Raw genomic sequence first — 12,297 nt, 5'->3', positions numbered from 1 at the left:
CAGATCAATAGTCACCTGGATAGAGATATGTGTGAGGTGGAGCAGAGGGGAGGGAGTATCAAGAGGCATGAGGAAACTTTTGGGGGTAATGGATTTATTTACTATTTTGCAGGTGATAACGGTTTTGTGAGTGTATACATATATTAAGACATATCACATTTTATATTTCAAACATATTTAATTTGTTGCATGTCAGTTATACCTGAATAAAGCTGCTACAAAAAAAGAAGAGAATATTTGTCCCTACTGCAGTTCAGCTATTTCTCACTACATGTGAATGCAGACATCTCTTCATAGGTTAAATTGATGAGGAAATAAAAACCTAGGCTGAGGGGACTGACAAAGTCACTTGCTGATTCTGTGAGTTGCAGGATCAGCCATTGAATTTGGGACTACCAGTTCCCTATGTAGTGCTGTATTCATTGTATTCATTTTCCCCTTGTTTCTTCATGCAGGAATTTTAAAATAACCTACCAGGAAAAACGAAAAAAACAAACAACAACCACAAAAAAAACGAAAAATGATCTGATATTTTTCAGCATGTTCTTCAACTTTTAGCAAGAGAAAAAATAATCCTATTGTTGAAAAAGGACCTATCTAGCCAACCTTATACTTATACTTTATGTATGTATGTATGCATGTATTTATGTATTGTTAAGACGGAGTTTCGCTGTGTCTCCCAGGCTGAAGTGCAGTGGCACAATCTCAGCTCACCGCAGCAACCTCCGCCTCCTGCGTTCAAGCAATTCTCCTGCCTCAGCCTCCTGAGTAGCTGGGACTACAGGTGCTCGCCACCACGCCTGGCTAATTTTTCTATTTTTAGTAGAAATGGGGTTTCACCATGTAGGCCAGGCTGGTCTCGAACTCCTGACCTCAAGTGATCCAACTGCCTTGACCTCCCAAAGTGCTAGGATTACATGCATGAGCCACTATGCCTGGCCTATACTTATACTTTTATAGATGAGGAAACAGATTCAGACACTAATTAAAATGCAGATACCAGATTGCAATATTTAAAGGAGTAAGAGATAACCTTGTAAGAAGCACTAGGAATCAGGACTCTAATCCACAGCTGGGTATGTGCCAGTCAATCCATTTCATTTGATTGGAAAATGTAATTATCAGATAATTCCTTCCTCCCTTGTAGATTCGAGGCTCTGGTTAAATAAAGCAGTGTATGAGAAGGTGCTTCATCAGCCATAAAGCATCCTGCCTGTTCTCATTTATAGTGGACAGACAATTTCAGGTTTTACCATCTGCTACTCCTGATTTCCAGCACAATACTTAGCTTCTCGGAGTCATAATTTTTCATTTGTTCCTTGAGACTAATAATGCCTCCCTTAATAACTTTCTGTAAAAATTGATTAGAATATATAAAAAGGGCTGAATTTAGTGACATCATGTGTTAGGTGCTTAATGCAATTGTCAATTGTGTGCAAGTATAGATGTTTTAATTTATTAGATGAGCATGCACTCATAATTTCTAGAAAAAATGTTTCATGCTTATTCCTTAGAGAGAATGTATCACGAACTGCCTGAACTTTTAGGGAGACATAAATTTAATTCTGTAGTAATTCCATTAAATGATATTTAGAGACAAGGTTGTAATATTCAAAATTGAGCTTGACTAAGACAAAAGGAAAGAAAACCTCTACACTTTTCTTTTTGGTCCCATGTAGCCAACGTTCAGCCCATTAGACTCTTAAAGAAACGGTAGAATATTCAGCAAATAAGCATATTTCTTTGTTAATAATAAACTCAAATATTTAACAAAAGACCAGCACAAGTATTCTGTTATGGAAATAAAGGAAAAATGTACTTTAGATTTCTATGTATCACTTGCTTTTTCAAGTTCATATGAAAAGAATAGTGGAGCAAGAGTCTGGAGATCCTGGTTATAGTCCTATGTTTTTTAAAGAATAAATTGTTTGATCTCAGTAAATTGACACATTAGATGCACCTTCCTTATCTGTAATACAGATGGGGTGGCGAATACAAACTCTGTAGAATCTTCCATTCCTAGCATTTTTTGAATTTATACTTGTAACGAGATATCCTAAAAGCCAAACTCATGGTTTTGTCTTTTTTTGAAATGCTAAAATGGCAGGGACCTTGTGCCAAGAATAACCCATGCTCAAAGGGGCACTGGGCAGCATAACACTCCCCCCAACAGGTCACATCGCTTTCTACATTCAGACCTATGTCCTGACCTGCTTTCTACCTGTTGGTGAGAGGTTGAGTGTTCCCCTTCTTTGATGGGTTGTACCAAAGATATATTCTGAGAAGAATCGAAACACGGTGAATCAATCTGGTTGTTGTCTGAGCTACTAGCTCATCCCACCCTCACTCCTGTGTGCAGGAGGTATTTAAGTGTCACAAACAATTCCCAGAAGTACTTTATGCACTCACAGGAAACACAAAGGTTTGATGAACTGTGATCCTCCAAGGAATTTCACTCTCTTCTCCTTCAAATTGAATGATAAAAGAAGGAAACGCAGGGGAATTTTGTAAAGCATTCTAGTGATGATTGACTTAGTGAGAAGCACTGCATGGGGTGTTTTGTGCAACCCAAAGATGCCTACATAATGAGAATTAGGGAGTAGTTGAGAAAAGTCTTTTTGATGGTGCCTGAAAGTCATTTGAAAGAGGTTACTTTCTGTGTTTTATGAACTGACATATATGTATTGCTATAATGCTTAGAAAGAAATAAATACAGAGTTATTTCTAATTAAAAACAAAAATAAAAGAACACAGGGAAATCCTGGGTGGTGTTAGATATTTCTATTACCTTGATCGTGGTGTTGATATCATGGGTGTTTGCTTATGTCTAAATTCAACAAATTGTACACATAAAATATGTGTAGTTATCTGTGTATCATTTATAACTCAGTAAAGCTTTTTAAAAATAATTTCAGGTGGCATAAAAGAGCTACCACAAACAAAGTCTTATTGAAGTTCCTTGGAGAAACCAACATTTACCTATGAAGAAAATGAAGAAGCATAAATTAAAAAGCAGTAATTCAGAGTTCTATATACCTGTCACCATGAACTTTCTGGTGTTTCCGGTCATTTTCCATAAACTGCAGGCCAATATCCTTAGCAAACTAACGCAGGGACAGAGCACCAAATACCACATGTTCTCACTTATAAGTGGGAGCTAAATGATGAGAACACATGGACCCATAGAGGGGAACAACACACCCTGATGGAGGGTGGGAGAAGGGAGAGGATCAAGAAAAATAACTAAAGGATACTCGGCTTATCATCTGGCTGATGAAATAATCTGTACAACAAATACTTGTGATTTAAGTTTACCTACGTAACAAACCTGCACATGTACCCTGACCTTAAAAATTAAAAAACAGACACAATTAGTTTATATTTTCTTTTAATTTTTACATAAAAGAAACTTCAGGTGCTTCCTTTGGCAAAGAGGAATTTTTGATTTCATTCACTAGCAGATTGAAGAACTTCTTTCTGTTTCTAATCAAAATGAAAAAGGATCATTGAAATTTCACTCAGGCTTTTCTTTTTGCTGAGGCACTGACAGGGTTCTTTGAACTGATAAAACAGACTTTAAACCAACAAAGATCAAAAGAGACAAAGAAGGCCATTACATAATGGTAAAGGGATCAATTCAACAGGAAGAGCTAACTATCCTAAATATATATGAACCCAATACAGGAGCACCCATATTCATAAAGCAAGTCCTTAGAGACCTACAAAGAGACATAGACTCCCACACAATAATAATGGGAGACTTTAACACCCCACTGTCAACATTAGACAGATCAACGAGACAGAAAGTTAACAAGGATACCCGGGAATTGAACTCAGCTCTACACCAAGTGGACCTGATAAACATCTACAGAACTCTCCACCCCAAATCAACAGAATATACATTCTCTTCAGCACCACACCACACCTATTCCAAAACTGACCACATAGTTGGAAGTAAAGCACTCCTCAGCAAATGTAAAAGAACAGAAATTATAACAAACTGTCTCTCAGACCACAGTGCAATCAAACTAGAAATCAGGATTAAGAAACTCACTCAAAATCACTCAACTACATGGAAACTGAACAACCTGCTCCTGAATGACTACTGGGTACATTACAAAATGAAGGCAGAAATAAAGATGTTCTTTGAAACCAATGAGAAAAAAGACACAACATACCAGAATCTCTGGGACACATTTAAAACAGTGTGTAAAGGGAAATTTATAGCACTAAATGTCCATAAGAGAAAGCAGGAAAGATCTAAAATTGACACTCTAACGTCATCATTAAAAGAACTAGAGAAGCAAGAGCAAACACATTCAAAAGCTAGCAGAAGGCAAGAAATAACTAAGATCAGAGCAGAACTGAAGGAGATAGAGAAACAAAAAACCCTTCAAAAAATCAATGAATCCAGGAGCTGGTTTTTTGAAAAGATCAACAAAATTGATAGACCACTAGCAAGACTAATAAAGAAGAAAAGAGAGAAGAATCAAATAGACACAATAAAAAATGATAAAGGGGATATCACCACTAATCCCACAGAAACACAAACTACCATCAGAGAATACTATAAACACCTCTATGCAAATAAACTAGAAAATCTAGAAGAAATGGTTAAATTCCTCGACACATACGCCCTCCCAAGACTAAACCAGGAAGAAGTTGATCTCTGAATAGACCAACAACAGGCTCTGAAATTGAGGCAATGATTAATATCTTACCAACCAAAAAAAGTCCAGGACCAGATGGATTCACAGCTGAATTCTACCAGAAGTACAAGGAGGAGCTGGTCCCATTCCTTTTGAAACTATTCCAATCAATAGAAAAAGAGGGAATCCTCCCTAACTCATTTTATGAGGCCAGCATCATCCTGATACCAAAGCCTGGCAGAGACACAACAAAAAAAAAAGAGAATTTTAGACCAATATCCCTGATGAACATCGATGCAAAAATCCTCAATAAAATACTGGCAAACCGAATCCAGCAGCACATCAAAAAGCTTGTCCACCATGATCAAGTGGACTTTATCCCTGGGATGCAAGGCTGGTTCAACATATGCAAATCAGTAAATGCAAATCCAACATATAAACAGAACCAATGACAAAAACCACATGATTATCTCAATAGATGCAGAAAAGGCCTTTAAAATTCAACAAACTTCATGCTAAAAACTCTCAATAAATTTGGAATTGATGAGACATATCTCAAAATAATAAGAACTATCTATGACAAACCCACAGCCAATATCATACTGAATGGGCAAAAACTGGAAGCATTTCCTTTGAAAACTGGCACAAGACAGGGATGCCCTCTCTCACCACTCCTATTCAACATAGTGTTGGAAGTTCTGGCCAGGGCAATCAGGCAGGAGAAGGTAATAAAGGGCATTCAATTAGGAAAAGAGGAAGTCAAATTGCCCCTGTTTGCAGATGATATGATTGTATATCTAGAAAACCCCATCATCTCAGCCCAAAATCTCCTTAAGCTGATAAGCAACTTTAGCAAAGTCTAAGGATACAAAATCAATGTGCAAAAATCAGAAACATTCTTATACACCAATAACAGAGCCAAATCATGAGTGAACTTCCATTCACAGTTGCTTCAAAGAGAATAAAATACCTAGGAATCCAACTTACAAGGACGTGAAGGACCTCTTCAAGGAGAACTACAAACCACTGCTCAATGAAATAAAAGAGGATACAAACCAATGGAAGAACATTCCATGCTCATGGGTAGGAATAATCAATATCATAAAAATGGCCATACTGCACAAGGTAATTTATAGATTCAGTGCCATCCCCATGAAGCTACCAATGCCTTTCTTCACAGAATTGGAGAAAACTACTTTAAAGTTCATATGGAACCAAAAAAGAGCCTGCATTGCCAAGTCAATCCTAAGCCAAAAGAACAAAGCTGGAGGCATCACACTACCTGACTTCAAACTATACTACAAGGCTACAGTAACCAAAACAGCATGGTACTGGTACCAAAACAGAGATATAGACCAATGGAACAGAACAGAGCCCTCAGAAATAATGCCGCATATCTACAACTATCTGATCTTTGATAAACCTGAGAAAAACAAGAAATGGGGAAAGGATTTCCTATTTAATAAATGGTGCTGGGAAAACTGGCTAGCCAGATGTAGAAAGCTGAAACTGGATCCCCTTACACCTTATACAAAAATTAATTCAAGATGGGTTAAAGACTTAAATGTTAAGCCTAAAACCATAAAAACCCTAGAAGAAAACCTAGGCAATACCATTCAGGACATAGGCATGGGCAAAGACTTCATGTCTAAACACCAGAAGCAATGGCAACAGAAGCCAAAATTGACAAATGGGATCTAGTTAAACTAAAGAGCTTCTGCACAGCGAAAGAAACTACCATAAGAGTGAACAGGCAGCCTACAGAATGGGAGAAAATTTTTGCAATCTACTCATCTGACAAAGGGCTAATATCCAGAATCTACAATGAACTCAAGCAAATTTACAAGAAGAAAACAAACAATCCCATCAAAAAGTGGGTGAAGGATATGAACAGACAATTCTCAGAAGAAGACATTTATCCCGCCAACAAACACATGAAAAAATGCTCATCATCACTGGCCATCAGAGAAATGCAAATCAAAACCACAATAAGATATCATCTCACACCAGTTAGAATGGTCATCATTAAAAAGTCAGGAAACAACAGGTGCTGGAGAGGATGTGGAGAAATAGGAACACTTTTACACCTTTGGTGGGACTGTAAACTAGTTCAACCATTGTGGAAGACAGTGTGGCAATTCCTCAGGGATCTAGAACTAGAAATACCATTTGACCCAGCCATCCCATTACTGGATATATACCCAAAGGATTATAAATCATGCTGCTATGAAGACACATGCACACATATGTTTATTGTGGCACTATTCACAATAGCAAAGACTTGGAACCAACCCAAATGTCCAACAATGATAGATTGGATTAAGAAAATGTGACACATATACACCATGGAATACTATGCAGCCATAAAAAATGATGAGTTCATGTACTTTGTAGGGACATGGATGAAGCTGGAAACCATCATTCTCAGCAAACTATCGTGAGGACCAAAAACCAAACACCACATGTTCTCACTCATAGGTGGGAATTGAACAATGAGAACACATGGACACAGGAAGGGGAACATTACACACCTGGGACTGTTGTGGGGTCGGGGGACGGGGGAGGGATAGCATTAGGAAATATACCTAACATTAAATGACGAGTTACTGGGTGCCGCACACCAACATGGCAAATGTATACATATGTAACAAACCTGCATGTTGTGCACATGTACCCTAAAACTTAAAGTATATAAAAAAAAGAAAATAGATAAGAAACAGCTAAAGGCCCAGTGCAGTGGCTCACGTCTATAATCCTAGCACTTTGGGAGGCTGGGATGCAAGGATCAGTTGAACCCAGGATTCAAGACCAGTCTAGACAACATGGTGAAACCCTGACTCTACCAGAAAAATACAAAAATTAGCTGGGCATAGTGGTGTCCACCTGCGGTCTCCAGTTACTCGGGGGGCTGAGATGGGAGGATCACTGGAGTCCAGGAAGTCAAGGCTGCAGTGAACTGAGATTGTGCCATTGCATTTCAGCCTGGGTTACAGAGCCAGACCTCGTCAGAAACAAACACTAGAAAAGTGTCAACCAGAAAAGCTGTAGGTATACAAAACATACACTAAAGTGGGGATTTGTTAGTAATGTCAGTAATAATCACTATAGACAACTAAGCATTGATGTTTCTCGAGGATGAACTGGTGGGACAAGACAATGCCAGCTGCTTCTGGCTATCAACTTTTTTCCTAGAATCTCAGTTTTTACTAAGAGAATATTGAGTATATGGACGTTGGAGGAGATGTTCTATATTGTTCATTGCTAGGAAAGCATAAATCATCTTTCTACAAATGAAGGAACCTATAGAATCCACTCTTTTTCAATCAGATGGACGAGAGAACAGTTGAAAATTTCAGCTATTTAACAGTGTGGAGACATCCATAAATAAAAAAAGTTTTAGATATTTAACAGTGTGGAGGCATCTATAAATACAAGATCTTTAATGAAGATCTATAATAAACACTCTAGGGAACTGGAGACAAATTTGCAGTCTTTCTTACTCCTTGGTCATTAACAACAACAAAAAAAATTGTGGAAAATGACATCTTAGGGTAATTTCTGGAGGAGCGCTCTATCCTATCACATGTGAGGCTGTTCTAATATCTAGTAACATTCTCTTTAGTAACTTGAAAAAATTATAAATAACTTACTTCCATAAATAATTACTAAAACATTATGTATTGCTATAATTATTAAAGAACAAATACATGAAAAGTTATTTCTAATTAAAAAAATGTATATGAATCTGGCATAGGGACATACATCTGGAATTGAACATTGTAAGACAAATTAATAAGATTTAATCTTGTTTGAGAGCCTATTTTTGTGGACAGCGAAAGGAAATTAACATTTTTAAAGAACTTTTATTCACTAGAGATGCTGTAGGGCTGCTTCACACATGTGATCAATTGAATGTTTTGGGGCTAATGTCTCTGGTTTCAGATAAAATTAGTGAATTTCTTCTTTATAGATAAAGTGAGTGACTGAGAGTTACTTCCCATTTCTAGGGTTACACAGCTTAGTGAGGTAGATAGAACAAAAACACCCATCTGTGTATCACATTCATGCTTTTACTCCTTTTATAAGAAGGATGAGAAGATCAACATCCACAGGGCTAAGATTCTCACCCAAGGAAAGAATTTAGGGCACCTTGACAAAAGTTTTCATTTTTGATCTCATCGTATATATTCTTGAGGAAAATAGAATGAAGGAAAGATAAGATTCAAATATTAAACCAAAAAATGGGATTAAGTGAGTAAAAATTTTTATGCATTTTTTTGTAAATTTCAAGAGGTAACATACAAATTTGTTCCAAATTTCCATTGTGAAGCAAACACAAAAGAACAAAAACACTAGGAAAAAAGAGCAGTTTTAAGATTCTCATTGCCTGTACAATTGAAAACCACTTAGGAAATGCTATTTGACTTGAGAGGCATTTCTTCTATGCGTCCTCACATAGAGTTTACTGTGTGATGCACTGAAAAATATCCTCAATTAATTTCCTAGAGAAAATACAATCAAGAGTTTGCTTAGGATCTCATAAGATCCTTCAACGTACGCTCATAGACATAAAGGAAAAACACTTCAATTATTGAATTTCACTATTCCAAGTGAATAACAATCTAGATTAGAATGAAAGAAAATGGAATGGAACTTTTCAGTGGACAGCGGGAATACTTACATGTGTATGTGTGTGCATGATGTGTATATACATACACACATGAATTACACATGTATGTAGCACGTGGGTTCATACTGTTGTTTCTAAACACAATTTAAAAAAATTTTTTAATTTTAATTTTTATTTTTTGAGACGGAGTCTCGCTCTGTTGCCCAGGCTGAAGTGCAGTGGTGCGATCTCGGCTCACTGCAGGCTCCGCCTCCTGGGCTCACGCCATTCTCCTGCCTCAGCCTCCCGAGTAGCTGGGACAACAAGCGCCCGCCACCAGGCCTGGGTAATTTTTTGTATTTTTTAGTAGATACGGGGTTTCACCGTGTTAGCCAGGATGGTCTCAATCTCCTGACCTCCTGATACACCGGCCTCGGCCTCCCAAAGTGCTGGTATTACAGGCGTGAGCCACCGCGCCCAGCTAAACACAAATTTTAAACCTACAAAGTTGTTTATTAGTTTTTGTCTTTATTCCTGAATCTTTTTTTCTGATAACTACTTAATTCCTAATAACATTGACATAATCGCATATTTTTAGATGTTAGTTTTCAAGTCAACTTTTGGGTCTTTTCGTTTTTTACTTTTTAAGTAAAGCAAACATTTACGTGTTTTCCAAGTCAAAATTTTACAATAGTGACACATACAGGAGTCTTATTTATACCCCTGTTTTCTTTACTCCATAACTTCCCTCAGTCTAGCCATTTCATCTTTTTCTATTCACATATGTATTATTTACTTCTGAAGTATAAGTGATGCATATATATATATTTATATTTTCCACTTCTTATATACATGTTGTCATTTATACCATATTGCAGATTGATTTTTAAATTTTTCACATATTCTGTAACTTACTCTATGTCAGCATATAAAAATCATTCTTTCATTTTTGCAGCTTCATAATAATCCATTGTGTGGATATACCATTGTCTATCAGGTATCTGTTCCTAGACATTTGAGTTGGTATCGAAATCTTGCTATTAGGAAAAAATGCAATGATAAATAGCTAACTGCATATGCTTTTCCCTACTTTGTCCAGTATATCACTAGGTTGGTTTCTTAGAAGAGGGATTATTGGGTGAAAGGGAAATGTAATAGGCAGTTTTGCTAAATGTGGCCAAATCTCCTCAAGCAATGCATGTGTGCTTCTTTCCCCTGGTCTTTCCAGTAAAGTTTATTGTCTAGGTTTGTATTTCCCATCTAAATTTACCTCTATCTATCTATCATTTCTCTCTTTCTCTCTCTCTCATTTATCTATCTATCTGTCTGTCTATCCTCTATCTCTGTTTTTGCTGATCTTAAAGGTGGAAAATGTTCTTAGAAGCTAGTTGTAATTTGTATTTTTTCTTGTTAGGAATAAATATTGTTCTACTCATAACTTTTTCTGTCTTTCAACTCCAAACTTACCCATCTTTGCCCCGCTTTGGTCCTACTGCACCTGGACATGGTAAATTAACCCTACTGGGTGCTTTCTTGCTTGCTAGGCCTGGCCAAGGAATGCCCCTGCCATGTAGCAGGACACAGCAACACCCAGTACAACCACATCAGAAGGAGCCGTAAAGGAGGGGTGGGGGTCTTCTAGTTTGTTTGTTTGTTTTTTCCTACTGTGGATGTTCTGCTTCAGCTCTAGAGGCAGTGGCTGCTCTGTATCTATTCTTCCTGTTTACTTGAGACTTTTCTCAATCACTCGATAATTAATTTACTGCTACCAGGTGATAATTCTCTATATTAAATTTTGTCTGTTAGAATTACTGTGTGGTTTTCTGTCTCCTGACTGGATCCTGGCCATTAAAAAGATGGAACTTTTAAAAATATTAAAGGGACATTTATTTGCATTTCTGTTTTTGTGTGTCTAATTTTATCAGTGCACATTTCTTCTGGCTTTTTGATGTTTTTATTAATCTTTCTCTTCATAGCTTTTAGGTATTCTTTATATATGGGAGACATTTATTTGGCCTGGTGTATAAGGTATACCTTTTCTCCACTTTATCATTTATCTTCTGATTTTGGTTAAGATATTTATTACCATACAACAGGTTTTTTTTCTTTCCTTCCTTTCTTTTTCCTTCATGTTGCCAAACTTATCAATTTTTAATTTTGTCATATCTGGATTTTGAGTCCTATTTATATTCAAATTCACATCAATTATTAAATAATTCATCGTGTTGATTTTAATACTTGTATGGCTTAATTTTTTGTCTTTATAATTTGATTTGTTAACATTTTGACAGTGTATGGTAAAAGAAAAAAAATCAAATTTTATATTTTCCATAAGACTATACAACTGTCTAAATGGCATTTATTTAAAAATTTACTTTTCCTCCAATGTTTTGGGGTGCTGTTATTACGTATTGAATCTTACTTTCATTTCATTGGGTCTTTATCTTTATTTTTCCTATTTTCTGTTTATTTGCTACATTTACACAAACCATTTATCAATAATACATGGTTTTAATTATACAAGCTTCCTGATATATTTTATACCAGTAGCTAGGTCTAGCCCCATTTCCATTTGTTCTCCTTTAAAAGGGTTTTCATTGCTATATTAGAATTTTTTTTTAAATCTTCCATATAAACTTTATAGTCAACATATTTAGGGAAAGGTATTGGAACAATGTAAAATTTATGAATTAACTTTTGGACAACTGACACCTTTAGGCACTCCAATCTTGCTATCTAAGAGCACATATGTCTTCATATGTGCTCAAGTCTACTTTTGTATCTTTCCGGAGTTTTACAGTTTTTCTCACAGACGTTTTTGCATATTTCTCATTTGGTTAATAGGTATTTTATGTTTGAAAATCATAAATGGGAATCTTCTCTTCCATTTAAATGTTCTAATTGGAGATTTGCTGGCTTATATGAAGGCTATTAGATCAATTTTACATTTTGCTAATTTACTAAGCTCTTTCTCTTGTACTAGTAGTGGCAGTAGCAGTAGTAGTATTTAATGTTTGGTGTGTTGGAATATAGCCATAC

At 36.4% G+C, this 12,297-nt stretch overlaps 2 annotated features.

Moving 5' to 3' along the window:
* Positions 1,667-2,275: an enhancer, noted in NCBI's record as "OCT4-NANOG-H3K27ac hESC enhancer chr11:56427579-56428187 (GRCh37/hg19 assembly coordinates)". NCBI's record gives its function as "activates a minimal SCP1, AML or CMV promoter by ChIP-STARR-seq in primed H9 embryonic stem cells {active_cell/tissue: H9 hESC(primed)}" and the evidence as "EXISTENCE:reporter gene assay evidence [ECO:0000049][PMID:30033119]".
* Positions 2,276-2,884: an enhancer, noted in NCBI's record as "OCT4-NANOG-H3K27ac hESC enhancer chr11:56426970-56427578 (GRCh37/hg19 assembly coordinates)". NCBI's record gives its function as "activates a minimal SCP1, AML or CMV promoter by ChIP-STARR-seq in primed H9 embryonic stem cells {active_cell/tissue: H9 hESC(primed)}" and the evidence as "EXISTENCE:reporter gene assay evidence [ECO:0000049][PMID:30033119]".

This window comes from Homo sapiens, chromosome 11, assembly GCF_000001405.40.
Source record: "Homo sapiens chromosome 11, GRCh38.p14 Primary Assembly".
Lineage (NCBI taxonomy): Eukaryota > Metazoa > Chordata > Mammalia > Primates > Hominidae > Homo > Homo sapiens.
This window is presented reverse-complemented; position numbering and strand designations above follow the sequence as displayed.